This window comes from Homo sapiens, chromosome 10 (genome assembly GCF_000001405.40).
Source record: "Homo sapiens chromosome 10, GRCh38.p14 Primary Assembly".
Classification (NCBI taxonomy): domain Eukaryota; kingdom Metazoa; phylum Chordata; class Mammalia; order Primates; family Hominidae; genus Homo; species Homo sapiens.
Genome location: NC_000010.11, coordinates 27,205,588 through 27,224,352, shown reverse-complemented (window position 1 = coordinate 27,224,352; position 18,765 = coordinate 27,205,588). Strand labels below are relative to the sequence as shown.

Genomic DNA, 18,765 nt, shown 5'->3' with positions numbered 1-18,765 from the left:
GGCTGGAGTGCAGTGTGGTGTGATCATGGCTCACTGCAGCCTCAATTTCCTGGGCTCAAGAGATCCTTCCACCTCAGCCTCCCGAGTAGCTGGGACTACAGGCGTGCACCGCCATGTCTGGATAATTAGACAATTTTTTTTTTTTTTTTTGTAGAAATGGGCCCTTACTATGTTGCCCAGGCAAGTCTCGAACTCCTGGGCTCAAGCCATCCTCCTCCTGCTTTGGCCTGCCAAAGTGCTGGGATTACAGGTGTGAGCCATTGCACTGCGCCCCCTAGCTGTAATACACAATTTATAAGTTATTGTATAAAATTTTACATGAAGCTCATGTAAAATAATCTTCAAAATGAGAACACTTTTAGATCTTTAATATACTTGAAGCTTTTCTAGGAGTGTATATACTTTTTTTAAAGGATTCCTTTTATTTTATTTTTTAATTTTTGGAGATGGCATCTCACTCTGTCACCAAGCCTGGAGTGCAGTGGTGCCATAATGGCTCACTGTAGCCTCGACCTCCCAGGCTCATGTAATCCTCCCACCTCAGCCTCTGGAGTAGCTGGGACCACAGACACACACCACCGTGCCTGGTTAATGTTTTTTAAAAAATTTTTAAGAGACAGGGTCTCACTGTGTTGCCAAGGCTGGTCTCAAACTTCTGGGCTCAAGCCATCCTCCTGCCTTGGCCTCCCAAAGTGCTGGGATTACAGGCATGAGCCACCACTTAGCCCGGCCACAGTGTGTATACATTAAGTATGTAATTAATGTAGATCCTTCAGAGAGTCTATTATGAATGTCAAATATTAAAATTATTGACAAATTGGAAATAGGAGATTATTTGATATTAGTGGAGATCAAATTAAGAGTTTGTGATTTCACAATATTTGTTTCTTTTGATTACAGATTATTGAAACTATGCCAATGACTGAGAAAGTTGAAGAATTGCTGCGTGTCATAGGTCCATTTTATGAAATTGTCGAGGACAAAAAGAGTGGCAGGAGTTCTGATATAACCTCAGGTTGGACTATTTTACCTATTTTTAAATTCATCAACTGATATATTATGCACATATTAATATTTGTATCTCTGATTTTTTTTCTTACTTTCACGCGCCAGTCCGACTGGAGAAAATCTCTAAATGTTTAGAAGGTAGGAATCATGAAATCATGTAAAAGTTTTGTTTAAAATTTACATGTCAAAAGAATTCTGCACAAACTTACAGAACTTACAATCTTGTCACCCAGGAGTTTTCATTCCAGGCAAACACATTATATGAAGTTCCAAAACATTATAAACCCTTAAAATTTTAACCCTTAAGTGGTAAGCTATTAAAATACACCAGGTAGTTTACTTAGTATATTCGAAATTATAGCAGAATTCATGGTTTTATTTTGATAGGTCATGTTTTCTATTTTGCTTTGAGAATTACGTTAATAGTACTTTGAATTCAATGATTTACTAGCTAATTTTAAAATGGATATGTTGGCCAGGTGTGGTGGCTCATGCCTGTAATCCCAGCACTTTGGGAAGCGAAAGCGGGCAGATCACCTTGAGGTCAGGAGTTCAAGACCAGACTTGCCAACTTGGTGAAACCCCGTCTCTACAAAAAACACAAAAATTAGCCAGGCATGGTGGCACACGCCTGTGATCCCAGCTACTTGGGAGGCTGAGGCACAAGAATCACTTGAACCCAGGAGGCAAAGTTTGCAGTGAGACGAGATCACTCTGCTGCACTCCGGCCTGAGCAACAGAGTGAGATGCTGTCTCAAAAAAAGAAAAAAACAAACAAAAAAAGAAATTAAAAATAGATGTGTTTAGGGTGTGGTTTAACTATAGCATATAAGCTAATGCAAGACAGTTAATTCATTTAGCTTGTTTTCTTTTTTCTTTATTTTGGTTCAAGCATCTCTGCATGGATTACAACTTCTATTTTTTTTTTTTTTTTAGAATTTTGTCTTCATGTACACAAAGGATTGAAAGGGTTGTGTTTTGCATACTTGTAGGAGTTGAATAAAATGGGAGATTTGTTGGTATTAACTAAACATTTGATCTTGAATTTTTTTTAGAAAGCAGAGTGAAATGAGACCACAAGAGTCAATTTAAGAGAAAATTATATACCCTTTAAATAAAAATCGCCTGGCATCCCCTTTTTTTCCCTTGACATCCCTATTTATAAGACATCTTTTAATAATTGACAATAATGGCAGCATTTCAGAATAGTAATCTTCCTGTGCTGAAATCGGTCCTTGTCACGGTCATAAACCACGTGCAAGTAGTACTGACTGCTTACTGGGCATAACTCTACCACATCATTCTACATCTGATTTGCTTACAGAAGTCAAATATTAACAAGTAGTCCTTCTTATAAGGCATGCTTATTCAATTCAGAGAAAAAACTAAATGTTTTCTTCTTTTCTTTTTTTTTTTTTTTTTTTTTTGAGATGGAGTCTTCCTCTGTCACACTGACTGGAGTGCAGTGGTCCCATCTTGACTCACTGCAACCTCCAACTCCTGGGTTCAAGCAATTCTCCTGACTTAGCCTCCCAGGTAGCTGGGATTACAAGTGTACACTTGTATTCTTGTATGGCTAATTTTTGTATTTTTAGTAGAGCCAGGGTTTTGCCATGTGGGCCAGGCTGATCTCGAACTCCTGACCTCAGGTAATCCTCCCAACTCAGCTTCCCAAAGCACTGGAATTAAAGGCATGAGCAATTGTACCCTGCCAGAAAAAAAAAATTAAATGTTTTATGTATGTCAGGCATGTTGGGATGCAGAGGGAAATAAATCTGGATCTGCTGCTGTGGTGTCCAGCCACTGGCCAGAGGCAGATATTTAAACAGCTAATTATAAAACAAAGAAGAGTAAATAATAGTAATAAAGGTGCAGGCTCACAGCTACCTAGCTATAACTTACAATTTTAAAAATCTTTGAAGACCAGAAGTTTTTTGGTAAACTCATTTGGCAGCAAAACCTGTCTGATATGAACTAAAAATCTGGGGAGTAAAACCTGACCTGAAGTAAAACGAGGGTATTTTGAGTCTCTTTCCTCTTTAATGTAACTATTTATATGTTTTGCTGCAAAAATCACATTCTCTTTTTAGTGAGAGCTGCCTTAGACTCTATTGGATGTGTTACATAATATACCAAATGGCATATGTACCATATAACCTTTGCAAAATTAGAAAACTTGAGATTTCAAAATGTATCTGGATCCAAGGGTTGTAAGTAAGGGATTGTGGACCTGCACCATAATTTTTTTAACCTGAGCCATTCTGGTGGACATTTAGGTTATTTACTCCTTTGATCTTCAGAAAATACTGCTGAGAATAACCACGTACATTTGTCATTTCACATATGTGAAAGCATATCTGTAAGAAATATTAGAAATGGAGTTAGAAATGTTTGATGTTTGTAATTTTGTAAGATATTACCAAATTGCAAAACAGTTTGCAGTCTTGCCTTTTTTTTTCTAAACAAAGCATTTCCTTAAAAGTAGCCATTTAGGTCCAATAGAACAGATGTATCAGTTTTACATTGCCATTTTCAGAATATACATATACAGTAAGTTTTGAAATCAGGAATGATGAGTCCTCCAATTTTGTTATTTTTCAAGATTGTTTTGGCTAATCTTGATCCCTCACATTTTCATATGAATTTTAGAATCTGCATGTCAATTTTTGCAGAAATGCCAGCTTGGATTTTGATACAGATTGCAGTGAATTTGCAGATCATTTTGGGGAGTATTGTTACCTCAAAAATATTGTCTTTCAATCCATGTTCTCAAAACAGTGTCCAGTAACCAACAGCATTGGTAACAAATGTGATCTTTATAGAAATTTGGAATCTTAGATCACCCTAGACATACTAATTCAGAATCTGCATCTTAAATAGCTCTCAGAAGATTTGTATGCACATTAAAGTTGAGAAGCTCTGATGTATTTACCCTCGGGATATAGCTTTGGCCACTTGGACAATTTGCTTTTGTAAGTGATTGATCACATTAATGGATACTTTAAGAAAAAAACTTAAATATCATAAAGACAGATAATGTGAGTTGTGCACCTGAAGTCCTAAAGGTAATACAGGAATAAAGTTTGTAAAATGGACCCCAACTGTAATATTGATGAGATTGTTGGTAGAACCAAAAACATATTTTTGTTTTCAGCATCCTAGCATATAGGAAGTATCTCTTCACTTGCCATGTATGAAGATCCATTGATCTCTAACTTTATTTTGATTGATATTAACTTAAAAATAATTTACCCTCTGCCTGATTCAGAAAGGATTTAAGATAGCTTGATCATAAGGTGATAATTGAAGGAATTTGTCTTGTAATATATGTATGTTTATAGTCAAAGAAAATAATACTATTATATATATAACATTTTAATTCAAAATTATTTTATTAGTTATTTGTAAATTTTATTAGTATTACTTGGAAATTATGACATTATTGTATATTATCACATTGTGAGTAAGTGGTCATTTCATGTTTTAGATCTTGGTAATGTTCTCACTTCTACTCCAAACGCCAAAACCGTTAATGGTAAAGCTGAAAGCAGTGACAGTGGAGCCGAGTCTGAGGAAGAAGAGGCCCAAGAAGAAGTGAAAGGAGCAGAACAAAGTGATAATGGTAATGTTTGGAAAATCAGTTAGTAATTTTGCAATAAATAAACTAAGAGGGTATGAAGACATTTGGGCTGATTTGGTATTGTAGAAGATTAAAGCAGGTGGTGGGATGTAAGCTGTTGACCTTATAAACAAGTTTGCTGTGGACCAAAAGGCTCTACTACATAGTATAGGAACAGCCAACCTTATGCGTAAATGGAATAGGTGTTAATTGAAGGTTGACAAGAATAGGCCACTCCTCCAAATGGATGGCCTGAAATGCTGCATTAGACATGTGCTATTTTAAAGTGTTGTTCCCAACATGAATCTGCATAAGTTACTAAGGATAGGAGACAAGTTAGACTCTCAATATCTTACCAAAAATAGAATGGAATCCAGAGAATAGGATAAAGGCATAGTGTTTTTTTTTTGTTTTTTTATGAGATAGAGTCTCGCTCTGTTGCCCAGGCTGGAGTGCAGTGGTATGATCGCTGCTCACTGCAGCCTCTGCCGCCCTCTGCAGCCTCAAGCCGTCTTCCTGCCTCAGCCTCGCAATTAGCTGGGATTACAGGCATGCACCACCACACCCCGCTAATTTTTGTATTTTTAGTAGAGACAGGATGTCACCATGTTGACCAGGCTGGTCTTGGACTCCTGACCTCAAGTGATCTGCTCACCTCGGCCTCCCAAAGTTCTGGGCTTATAGGCATGAGCCATCGCACCCGGCCTACAGGCATAAATTTTCATGAAGAAGGAACATTGGAATTATGGCTTAGAGCATTGAGGGCCCTGTTGGAATACCAATAACACACGGGAAGACTGTTTTCAAAAGGGGAGACAGAAAGACACTAAAACAAACTGCGGCCGGGCACGGTTGCTCACACTCGTAATCCCAGCAGTTTGGGAGGCCGAGGCGGGCAGATCACCTGAGGTTGGGAGTTCGAGACCAGCCTGACCAACATGGTGAAACCCCGTCTCTACTAAAAATACAAAAATTAGCCAGGCATAGTGGCGGGCGCCTGTAATCCCAGCTACTTGGGAGGCTGAGGCAGGAGAATCACTTGAACCCGGGAGGCAGAATTTGCAGTGAGCCAAGCTCATGCCATTGCACTCTAGCCTGGGTGACAGAGCGAGACTTTGTCTCAAAAAAAAAAAAAAACTGTGTAACTTAGTTTTGCCTTCCCTTTCCAGTAAGGTATGACAAATAGCGCCTTCTTTAAGGATCCTTTTTATCAGCTATGTGGACCCCTTCGCACTGCTAGGTCTCATAGAGCAATTTGCTTATGCCTAAGGGAGTAAAAAGACTTTGAGAGATTACTTTTTAAAAGAAATTCTAGAAGATTGACAGGGAACTGAAACAGTTTTGAAGCCAACATAGTTTGGGTGAGCTCTCAGCGTATAGTAAACCCCATTTCAAGGAGCACGCCTTCTCTTTGATCCAAGTAGGAAACCCTTCAAAGGGATTGTGGTAGGTTAGGGAAATAACAGCTGGATATTAAAACATGGTATGCAGAAGGTGACCTACTGTGAACTTTTATGAATCTTTCCCATTTTCTCGTAAAAGATAAGAAAATGATGAAGAAGTCAGCAGACCATAAGAATTTGGAAGTCATTGTCACTAATGGCTATGATAAAGATGGCTTTGTTCAGGATATACAGAATGACATTCATGCCAGTTCTTCCCTGAATGGCAGAAGCACTGAAGAAGTAAAGCCCATTGATGAAAACTTGGGGCAAACTGGAAAATCTGCTGTTTGCATTCACCAAGGTATTGTCCCCAAATAATTCTGTGTCCAGCCTCTTTCCTATGAATAGTCTTTTAGTAATTATAGGATCTTTAGGATCAGTTTAATTTAAAAATCTCTTATTTAATAATATCTTAGGGCTTATTAATATTATAAGCATTTATAGTTTTGAAAAAGAGTGAATTAGGGCCAAGGTTATATATGTATCTCTTTCTGTTGCCCAGGCTGGAGTGCAGTGGCATAGTCATGGCTCACTGCAGCCTTGAACTCCTGGGCAATTCTGCCTCAGCCTCCTAAGTAGCTGGGATTACAGGCATGTACCATCATGCCCAGTTAATGTTTAAATTTTTTGTAGAGACAGGGTTTTGCCAGGTAGCCCAGGCTGGTCTGGAATTCCTGGGTTCAAGTGATCTGCCTGCCTTGGCCTCCCAAAGTGCTAGGATTACAGGTTTGAGCCATGCACTGGCTTATTTTTTAATTTTTAGGGATACATAATAGTACATGTGAGAAACATCATTTCTTTTTCTTTTCTCTTTTTTTTTTTTTTGAGATGGTGTCTCGCTCTGTCACCCAGGCTGGAGTGCAGTGGCGCAATCTCGGCTCACTGCAACCTCTGCCCCCTGGGTTCAAACAATTCTCCTGCCTCAGCCTCCCCAGTAGCTGGGATAACAGGCACGTGCCACCATGCCCAGCTAATTTTTGTATTTTTAGTAGAGACGGGGTTTCACCATGTTGGCCAGGGTGGTCTCAAACTCCTGACCTTAAGTGATCCACCCGCCTTGGCCTCCCAAAGTGCTGGAATTACAGGTGTGAGGCAACGCGCCCGGCCGAGAAACATCTTTTTTTTTTTTTTTTTTGAGACAGAGTCTCGCTCTGTCGCCCAGGGTGGAGTGCAGTGATGCGATCTCAGCTCACTGCAAGCTCCGCCTCCTGGTTTCACGCCATTCTCCTGCCTCAGCCTCCCGAGTAGCTGGGACTACAGGTGCCCGCCACCATGCCCAGCTAATTTTTTGTATTTTTTAGTGAGACGGGGTTTCACCGTGTTAGCCAGGATGGTCTCGATCTCCTGACCTTGTGATCTGCCCTCCTCTGCCTCCCAAAGTGCTGAGATTACAGGCGTGAGCCACAGTGCCCGGCCAAGAAACATCATTTCGTAATGTAAGAACCAAACTTGCCTAGTTGGATCTTACATTTAGGCATCCTGCTTGGTAGGTAGTTTTCTCTTACAGGGTTATTAGGTTTTATAAGATTTCATCTAGGCTGTCTTTATGGAATTCAATGATAAAATATTTTGTAATCTTTTCAAATAAAAATTATCAACTAAATTTAAAGTTTTGGTAAATTTTAAAAAGTGTGGCTTGATAAATCAAATTCGTCTCTCAGTATAAAAATAATATAAGGCTGATGAATTTTGAAAATGGAACAAAGGTCAGGCACAGTGGCTCACGCCCGTAATCCCCGCACTTTGGGAGGCCGAGGCGGGTGGATCACCTGAGGTCAGGAGTTCGAGACCAGCCTGACCAACAATGTGAAACTCCGTCTCTACTAAAAATACAAAAGTTGGCTGAGTGCGGTGATTCATGCCTGTAATCCCAGCACTTTGGGAGGCTAAGGCAGGCGGATCACCTGAGGTCAGAAGTTCGAGACCAGCCTGGCCAACATGGTGAAACCCCATCTCAAGTAAATATACAAAAAATTAGCTGGGCTTGGTGGTGTGCACCTGTAATCCCAGCTACTTGGAGACTGAGGCAGGAGAATCACTTGAACCCAGGAGGCAGAGGTTGCAGTGAGCCGAGATCACACCACTGCACTCCAGCCTGGGCCACAGAACGAGACTCCATCTCAAAAACCAAAAATAAACAGTATTTTGGGAGGCCAAGGTGGGTGGATCATCTGAGCTCAGGAGTTTGAGACCAGCCGCACCAATATGGAGAAACCCTGTCTCTACTAAAAATGCAAAATTAGCCAGGTGTGTTGGCCCATACCTGTAATCCCAGCTACTCGGGAGGCTGAGGCGGGAGAATCACTTGAATCCGGGAGGCGGAGGTTGCTGTGAGCCGAGATCGCACCACTGCACTCCAGCCTGGGCCACAAGAGCAAAACTCCGTCTCAAAACAAAACCAAATGAAACAAAAATTAGCTGGGCATGGTGGTGGGCACCTGTAATCCCAGCTACTTGGGAGGCTGAGGCAGGAGAATCACTTGAACCCGAGAGGTAGAAGTTGCAGTGAGCCGAGATCACACCACTGCACTCCAGCCTGGGCAACAGAGCAAGACTCCATCTCAAAAAAACAAAGGAATAAATTTGTTTTTCTTCTACTATAGTATAATTACCCTATCTGCACTTTTGTTCATATTTAGATATAAATGATGATCATGTTGAAGATGTTACAGGAATTCAGCATTTGACAAGCGATTCAGACAGTGAAGTTTACTGTGATTCTATGGAACAATTTGGACAAGAAGAGGTAAAAATGACATTTTCTGATTGGTGTATTTTCAAAGTGGTGTATTAGAATTCAATGCGTAACTTCTGTTAGTAGCAAATATACATGCTATTTTTCATTTTGAAAAGATACTCCTAAAATGTTTAAACATTTGTATTTTAAACTATTTTTTATGAATTCAAAAATAGGTAAAATTCTGGAAAAGTCAAAGAAAAATTAATAATATTAACTACTCCATTATAACTAATAATATACATATATTTATAAATATTCTAGGAGACGTGGGATGGGGATGCAGAGAAAACACTTTTTATGCTAGTCCCAATGTTTGAAACATTTATTAATGTTCAGGAAAATTGAATGATCTTCTTTGTTGTTTTTTTTGTTTTTTAGAGATGGGGTCTCTGTCTGTCACCCAGGCTGGAGTGCAGTGGCGCAATCTCGGGTCACTGCAACCTCCGCCTCCTAGGTTCAAGCAATTCTCCTGCCTCAGCCTCCCAAGTAGCTGGGATTACAGGCATGTGCCACCACACCTGGCTAATTTTTGTATTTTCAGTAGAGACAGAGTTTCACCATGTTGGCCAGGTTGGTTTCAAACTCCTGACCTCAAGTGATCTGCCCACCTCAGCCTCTCAAAGTGCTGGGATTATGGACGTGAGGCATTGTGCCCAACCTAAAAATGGGTTCTTGATATGTTGCCTAGGCTGGTCTCAAACTCTTGGCCTCAATCAGTGCTCCCACCTCAGCCTCCCAAAATGCCGGGATTACAGGTGTGAGCCACCAAGGCTGGCCTGAATAATTTTCAAACAAATAAGTCTGTTCTCCACATTGACTGTAATTCACTGGATTGAAATTTTTAGTGGAAATAATTTTTAAATTTCAGTTAATTAAGATCCAGTATTGGGAGAGAAAACTTGAAAAACAAATTATAGGACATCCATGAATCCTTTTTCTCAACTTTTTCTGATAATGATGATAGCAGTATTTTAATTTTTAATTTTTTAATTTTTAATTTTAATGGGCACATAGGTATATATATTCATGGGTTAGACTGGGCTCAGTGGCTCACACCTGTAATCCCAGGAGGCTGAGGCAGGAACTTCGCTTGAAACCAGGAGTTTGAGACCAGCCTGGGCAAGAAGGCGAGACCCCCATCTCCACTTTATTTTTGTAAAATATAAAAAATATAATAAATATATATTTATGGGGTATATGAGATATTTTGGTGCAGGCATATGATGTGTAATAATCACATCAGGGTAAATGGAGTATCCATTATTTCAGACAGTCATCATTTCTTTGTGTTCCAAACATTCCAATTGTACTCCCTCAGTTATTCTAAAATGTACAACAAAGTATTGCCGACTATAGCCACTCTGCTGTGCTATCAGGTACTAGATCTTATTCATTGTATCTCTATCTCCATGAGTTTAATTGTTTTAATTTTTAGCTCTCACAAATAAGTGAGACCATTTGAAGTTTTTCTTTCTATGCCTGGCTTATTTCACTAAACATAATATCTTCCAATTCCATCCATATTGCAAATGACAGGATCTCATTCTTTTTTATGGTAGAATAGTACTCTGTCGTGTATATGTACCACATTTTCTTTATCCATTCGTCTGTTCATGGACACTTAGGTTGCTTCCAAATCTTGGCTATTGTGAATAGTGCTGCAATAAACATGGGAGTGCTGATATCTCTTCAATATATTGATTTCCTTTCTTTTGGGTATACAGCCAGCAGTGGAATTGCTGGTCATATGGTAACTCTATTTTTGGTACTTTTTTTTTTTTCTGAGGCGGAGTTTCCCTCTTGTTGCCCAGGCTAGAGTGCAATGGGATGATCTTGGCTCACTGCAACCTCCGCCTCCTGGGTTCAAGTGATTCTCCTGCTTCAGCCTCCCGAGTAGCTGGGATTACAGACATGCGCCACCATGCCCCGCTAATTTTGTACTTTCAGTAGAGACGGGGTTTCTCCATGTTGGTCAGGCTGGTCTCGAACTCCTGACCTCAGGTAATCTGCCTGCCTTGGCCTCCCAAAGTGCTGGGATTTCAGGCGTGAGCCACCACGCCCGGCTTGTTTGTTTGTTTTTTAAGAAACTTCCATACTGTTCTCCCCAGTGGCTGTACTAATTTTACATTCTCACCGACAATGTACAGGGGCTTCCTTTTCTTCACATCCTTGCCAGCATTTGTTATTGCTTGTCTTTGGGATAAAAGCCATTTTAACTGGGGCGAGGTAATATCTCATTGTAGTTTTGATTTGCATTTCGCTGATGATCAGTGATGTTGAGCACCTTTTCATATACCTGTTGGCCATTTGTAGGTCTTTTGAGAAATGTCTATTCAGATCTTTTGCCCAGTTTTAATCAGGTTATTAGATTTTTTTCCTATTGAGTTGTTTACGCTCCTTATGTATTCTACTTATTAATCTGACAAAGGTGGTTTTGACAGCTATATTTCTGTTTGGCCTCTTTATATCCTCTCCCCATTCTGTTTCCTACCTACCTACCCTGTTCTAATACAGTTCAGTGTGTCTTATAGAAAATCATTTATCTTTTGCCTCCCTGAAATGATTTTAACTTTTTGTGTTTTTCTCCTTTTCTCATTTCATAATGCAATTAAATCTACCCCTTTTCTCAAATTTTAAAAACACATGAATAAAATATCTTTTACTTAAGGTCAAACACAAATGGAGTGGCGTAGGCTGGTCATGGTGGCTGACACCTATAATCCCAACACTGTGGGAGGCCGAGGCAGGTGGATCACTTGAGCTCACAAGTTTCAGAGCCGCGTGAGCAACATGGCAAAACCCCGTCTCTACAAAAAAATAAAAAACTTAGCCAGGCATGGTAGCTACTCAGGGAGGATGGCTTGAGCCTGGGAGGCAGTGGTTGCAATGAGCCAAGATCGCACCACTGCACTCCAGCCTGGGCTATAAAGCCAGAACTTGTCTCAAAAAAAAAAAAAAAAAGCAGCATAAATTGGAAGAATAATGATAAGGAGGCCAAACTGAGAATGAGTGAAATTAGTGAAAAATGAAAAGGATGAAAAACTCAGATTCCCTTTTATTTTTTTCTTTTTAAAAAAGAGATATTTGGGGAAGGTTGATGAAAGGGACCAGATAGAGATTAATCTCAGTAAATATCCAGCTGCTACATTCTAGTTTTGTTCCTGTTTTCTCTCTCAATCAGTTGATGGACTAAAGCTCAAGGGGCTGTCTGACCTGGCTTCTGGAGTGCAGTGGCACAATCTGGGCTCACTGCAACCTCCACCTCCTGGGTTCAAGTGATTCTTGTGCCTCAGCCTTCCAAGTAGCTGGGACTACAGGCATGTGCCGCCCTGACTGGCTAATTTTTGTATTTTTAGTAAAGACGGGGTCTCGTCATGTTGGCCAGGCTGGTCCCATACTCCTAGCCTCAAGTGATCTGCCTACCCTGGCCTCCCAAACTGCTGGGATTACAGGTGTGAGCCACCATGCCGGCCCCTTGCTGGCCTCTGTTAACACCACTCTCCTATTTGGTCGTTGCTCACCACCCACCCTGGCCTTCTCTCTGTTTCTCTAATGTGTCAAGTCCCTTCCTACCCCCACCCCCACTTGTACATCCTCCCTCTTCACTGAGGACTCTTATATACCCTTTATACCCTAACTCAGATGTCCCTTCCTGAAGGAAACCTTAGATAAGATACAACTCACCTCATCACCACCTTCATCAAGTCCAGTTAATTATAGGTTGTCATCCATCGATGTCTTAGGTGGGTTCTTTTAAAAACACATTTAGGTTCTGCCTACACAGTAGCCATTCTTTATTCCTTTACTTTCTAAATAAGCTTGCTTTGACTTAAAAAAAAATTTAGGTAGTAATCTCTAAGAATAAGGTAAGCATAGAAATGTAGATGTTTCTTTAATAACTGACTCACAAAAACAACTCACTGGGCGGGCGTGGGGTCTCACTCCTGTAATCCCAGCAGTTTGGGAGGCCGAGGTGGGCGGATCATGAGGCCAGGAGATTGAGACCATCCTGGCCAACATGGTGAAACCCCATCTTTCCTAAAAATACAAAAATTAACCAGGCATGGCGGTGCGTGCCTGTAATCCCAGCTACTCGGGAGGCTGAGGAAGGAGAATTGCTTGAACCCGGGAGGTGGAGGTTGCAGTGAGCCGAGATCGTGCCAGTGAACTCCAGCCTGGTGACAGAGCGAGACTCCATCTCAAAAACAAACAAACAAACAAAACAATTTACTACCCAAGCTTCTTGACTCTGTTCATGGACAAATCATTCTTGTCCTATTTCTTCCCTGCAGGTAGGAAGCAGCATATGAATTGAAGACATTTTTTAGAAAAAGAATATTTCCAATAATAACATGAAAGAACATTTTAGGAAAACAGTATTTCTCCTATTGCTGTAAAAACTTTGTGGTGTATAATTCACATTTCTAGCTTTTAACTAAGTGTCATTTCTAATTTGTAGTCTTTAGACAGCTTTACGTCCAACAATGGACCATTTCAGTATTACTTGGGTGGTCATTCCAGTCAACCCATGGAAAATTCTGGATTTCGTGAAGATATTCAAGTACCTCCTGGAAATGGCAACATTGGGAATATGCAGGTGGTTGCAGTTGAAGGAAAAGGTGAAGTCAAGCATGGAGGAGAAGATGGCAGGAATAACAGCGGAGCACCACACCGGGAGAAGCGAGGCGGAGAAACTGACGAATTCTCTAATGTTAGAAGAGGAAGAGGTGTGGATTACCTTTTTTCTTCCCTCACCTTTATTGATTTACTTACTTATTTTTGAGATGGAGTCTCGCGCTCTGTCGCCCAGGCTGGTGTGCGGTGGTGCAATCTCGGCTCACTGCAACCTCTGCCTCCCGGGTTCAAGTGATTCTCCTGCCTCAGCCTCCTGAGTAGCTGGGATTATAGGCACCCACCACCATGCCTGGCTAATTTTTGTATTTTTAGTAGAGATGGGGTTTTACCATGTTGGCCAGGCTGGTCTCGAACTCCTGATCTCAGGTGATCCACCCACCTCGGCCTCCCAAAGTGCTGGGATTACAGGCGTGAGCTGTGCCCGGCCGCCTGACTAATTTAAAAAGTTTTTCTGTAGAGATGGGCATCTCACTATGTTGCCCAGACTGATCTCAAAATTTACCTCCTTTAGATACAACAATAGAAGTCTTGAAAACAGCATCAGGCACCTCAGTGCCCTCTTTGGGGTTTAACTTGGCAAATAGCTCTAATTCGGTTTCCCTTTTAATCCCCAACAATGCTTGATGCAGGTTCAGCTATGGGAATTCTGCTGCAGTGGAGGTCCAGGATGCTAAAGGGCAATGAGCTAGACAATTTCCTATTTATTATTCAAAACAAAACTTGCCCATTATATTAGCAAATGTAAAATTTTGTAATATTCCATTCCTACAAGGCTAGGGTAACACAATAGTATCTTTTATACTCTGCAATATAACACTGTTTCAGCCTTCTGATAAATAGCTTGGGAACCTTGACCCAGTTGTTATCCTTTAATCCAGTAATGATTCTTTTTGGAATCTGTCTTAAAGAGATCAGGGGAAATTTGGACGAGTATTTACATACAAAACCATTCACTGCAATTTTGTTTGTAACAGAAAAAATTTGAACTCATCCTACCTATCCAAAAGTGGAGAATGGTTGAGTGAATTATTTCATAACCTAACTAGGGAATTTATGTAACCATTTAAGTGTTTTTGGAATAAAATTTAATGAGGCAGATAAGTGTTCATAATATGATTTTAAAACTAGGACATAAAATCATGTATAAGGGGTAATGCCAATTTTGTAAATATATGCCCAGAGAAAAGAATGGATGAATATATAACAAAATCTTAATAGTAGTGAGATTTCTATAAGGAACACACAATTTAGAATAAGAAGAACACATTTAAAATCTTTTGGATGGCTGGGCGTGGTGGCTCACTTCTGTAATCCCAGCACTTTGGGAGGCCAAGGCAGGCAGATCACTTGAGGTCAGGAGTTCAAGACCAGCCTAGCCAACAATGTGAAACTTCGTCTCTACTAAAAATACAAAAATTAGCCGGGCGTAGTGGCATGCGCCTGTAATCCCAGTTGCTTGGGAGGCTGAGGTAGGAGAATCGGCCGAACCTGGGAGGCGGAGGTTGCAGTGAGCCATTGCACTCCAGCCTGGGCAACAGAGTGAGACTGTCTCAGAAACAAACAAACAGACAAATACCTTTGGAGATTTATAATGTAATTAAACAAACAAACAAAAATGACCAAAAAGGCAAACGTAGCTCTTTACTGTAACTTTTAATACCTAAAGAAGTAGTCTCCAGGGCCAGGAGTGGTGGCTCATACCTGTAATCCCACAGCAGTTTGGGAGTCCAGGGCAGGTGGATTGCTTGATCCCAAGCATTCGAGACCAGTCTGGGTAACATGGGGAGACCTCATCTCTATTTAAAAAAAAAAAAGTCTTTGAATTTTTCAGTCTGGTTACCTTATTAGTAAAGAATTTTTGAGCAGGCACTCCAAATATGTGTATTATTTGTGAATTATTTGCATAATGTATTAGTATATTATGTATATTATAGAACCTTAGCAAAAAATTTTAGAATATATCAATATGAATAGAAGTTTACAAATCAATTTCTTTGAGCTCAGCAGTTTATTTTATGTACTTCCTGACTGCTTCTACTCCACGTTGGAAGTTTTTTTTTATTTTTTTGAGATGGAGTATCGCTCTGTCGCCCAGGCTGGAGTGCAGTGGCATGATCTCGGCTCACTGCAACCACCGCCTCCAGGGTTCAAACAATTCTCCTGCCTCAGGCTCCTGAGTAGCTGGGATTACAATTGCATGCCACCACACCTGGCTAATTTTTGTATTTTTAGTAGAGACAGGGTTTTGCCATGTTGGCCAGGCTGGTCTTGAACTCCTGACCTCAGGTGATCCGCCCGTCTCAGCCTCCCAAAGTGCTGGGATTACAGGTGTGAGCCACAGCTCCTGGCCACACTTTGGAGATTTAGATCTCAAAGAAATAACAGAGGAAAATGAATAAAACACAGTTTTACTTGTATAAGAATTATTTAAAACAAGCTTATTTTTGCCTCTTAAAATAGGACATAGGATGCAACACTTGAGCGAAGGAACCAAGGGCCGGCAGGTGGGAAGTGGAGGTGATGGGGAGCGCTGGGGCTCCGACAGAGGGTCCCGAGGCAGCCTCAATGAGCAGATCGCCCTCGTGCTGATGAGACTGCAGGAGGACATGCAGAATGTCCTTCAGAGACTGCAGAAACTGGAAACGCTGACTGCTTTGCAGGTAAACTTCCAAATGTATCATACCTTCTTGTGCTTATTGATTCTGGAAAGCAATGTGGAGTCTGCGTTGATCATATTGACATAAATTAATGTATTTTACTGATTTTTTTAGAAAATAGAACTTGGTTTTGAAAATATTGTTTAAGAAAAGACTGACCCAGAAACTAATTACTGCTTAAAATAATAGAAAAATGGTAAAATAATAGAAAAATGGCTGGGCGCCGTGGCTCACGCCTGTAATCCCAACACTTTGGGAGGCCGAGGTGGGTGGATCACCTGAGTTCAGGAGTTTGAGACCAGACTGGCCACTATGGTGAAATTCTGTCTCTACTAAAAATACAAAAGTTAGGCAGGTGTGGTGTTGCATACCTGTAATCCCAGCTACTTAGGAGGCTGAGGCAGGAGAGTCCCTTGAACCCAGAAAGCAGAGGTTTCAGTGAGCCGAGATCACACTACTACACGCCAGCCTGGGTGACAGAGTGAGACTCTGTCTCAAATAAATAAATAAGTAAGTAAGTAAATAAATAAATAAATAAAATGAAAAGGGTTCATAGGAAGAGATACTACAGCTTGATTTATAGTTTCAACTGTGGCCTATGATAATCCCGGGACTCAGCTGCCGCTTCTTGAGTAACATTTGTTAGAGAGAGTAAAGAGGTAATTAGCATTGACTGTCTGACCTAGCTGCAAACATTATACAGCATTGAAGCATCATGCTGTAACAGATGTTAAGAAGTATTTGTAGGGATTAATCAAAGAAGACATGCTTCCATTGCAAGATAAATACATTAATTGTGACTCATGTAAAGAAACTGATAGCAGGCTTTCCTAAACAACCACTGTGAATATCTTTCTCTTTACCTAATCAGTAAGTTACTCAAGCTATCATGTTTTTAAAAATTATATGTATCTCCACAATTCTCAGTTACATGTTATTATTATTATTATTATTATTATTATGGGTTTTTTTTTGAGATGGAGTCTCACTCTGTCACCAGGCTGGAGTGCAGTGGCGGGATCTCGGCTCACTGCAACCTCCACCTCCTGGGTTCAAACGATTCTCCTGCCTCAGCCTCCTGAGTAGCTGAGACTACAGGCGCACGCCACCATGCCCAGCTAATTTTTGTATTTTTAGTAGAGACGGGGCTTCACCATGTTGGCCAGGGTGGTCTTGATCTCCTGACCTCGTGATCCACCCGCCTCAGCCTCCCAAAGTGCTGGGATTACAGGCGTGAGCCACCGTGCCCGGCCTCTCAGTTACATATTATTATTAATCAGACTGCAAATTCCTAGACTTCCAGGAGTCCATGAACACCCTAAAATACTATGCACATTTGTCTTTGATCTTGCATTTTTGATGGGAGAGGACTTGTTGTCTTCATCAGATCCTCAAGAAGGTGTATAAGGAAAGAGTTTAAAATAGTGCCTTATGACCGGGCGCGGTGACTCACACCTGTAATTTCAGCACTTTGGGAGGCCGAGGCGAGTGGATCACTTGAGGCCAGGAGTTCGATACCAGCCTGGCCAGCATGGTGAAACCCCATCTCTACTAAAAACACAAAAATTAGCTGGGCGTGGTGGTGCATGCCTGTAATCCCAGCTACTCAGGAGGCTGAGGCATGAGAATCACCTGAACCCTGTTGGCGGAGGTTGCAGTGAGCCTAGATCACGTCACTGCCCTTGGCTCACTGTAACTCCACCTCCTGGGCTCAAGTCATCCTCCCACCTCAGCCTCCCAAGTAGCTGGAACTACAGGTGCACACCACCACATCTGGCTAATTTTTGTACTTTTTGTAGAAACAGAGTTTTGCCATGTTGCCCAGGCTGGTCTCAAACTCCTGAGCTCAAGTAATCAGCCCACCTCAGCCTCCCAGAGTGCTTGGGATTATAGGCGTGAGCCACTGAGCCTGGCATGCTCTATGTTTTTTTTTTTTTAAAGAATATTTTACATATATTCAATATCTTTAGTGATATTGAAATTCTGCTAAAATTCTTTTGATGTATTTTCTTAGACATTTACTTTTTTCACTGTGATAGAAAACTTTAGGCTAGGCCCATGGCTCACACCTATAATCTCAGCACTTTGGGAGGTCAAGGCAGGAGGATAACCTGAGGCTAGGAGTTCAAGACCAGCCTAGGCAGCATGGCAAGACCCTGTGTCTACCAATAAAATAAAATTAAAATAGCTAGGCTTGGTGGTCGGCCCAGCTACTCAGAAGGCTGAGGCAGGGTGATAGCTTGAACCCAGGAGTTCAAGGCTGCAGTGAGCCACGATCTCACCAGCCTGGGCAACAGAGCAAGACCTCATCTCTACAAAAATACAATACAATAATAAAATAAAGTTCAAAAGATTTTAAGGACTTTTTTCCTTAAAATTTGCATAATTCACTTGGATGACTCATAGAAGAAATAAATTGGGCCAGGCATGGTGGTTCATGCCTATAATACCAACACTTTGGGAGGCTGAGGTGGGTGGATCACCTGAGGTCGGGAGTTCGAGACCAGCCTGGCCAACATAGTGACAACTATGGTGCCACCACACCCAGCCAACACCAGTTAGCTGGGTGTGGTGGTGCTTGCCTCCCAGCTAATTGTGAGGCAGCGGTTGCAGTGAGCCAAGATCGTGTCTCAAAAAGAAAAGTTGAATAGGTAATGTAAT

At 41.1% G+C, this 18,765-nt stretch overlaps 1 protein-coding gene across 45 annotated transcripts in view; it reads left to right on the top strand.

Annotated features, from left to right (window-relative positions):
* ACBD5 (acyl-CoA binding domain containing 5) overlaps nucleotides 1-18,765 on the top strand; it is a 59,274-nt gene that overhangs the window by 17,759 nt on the left and 22,750 nt on the right. For 17 of the 45 annotated variants that reach the window (XM_017016885.3, XM_017016896.2, XM_017016889.3 and 14 more), the window contains 6 exon segments: nucleotides 901-1,015; nucleotides 4,496-4,630; nucleotides 6,170-6,373; nucleotides 8,712-8,818; nucleotides 13,272-13,539; nucleotides 15,908-16,107. In XM_017016885.3, coding sequence (XP_016872374.2) covers nucleotides 901-1,015; nucleotides 4,496-4,630; nucleotides 6,170-6,373; nucleotides 8,712-8,818; nucleotides 13,272-13,539; nucleotides 15,908-16,107 — 1,029 coding nt within the window. 45 annotated transcript variants of the gene reach the window in all.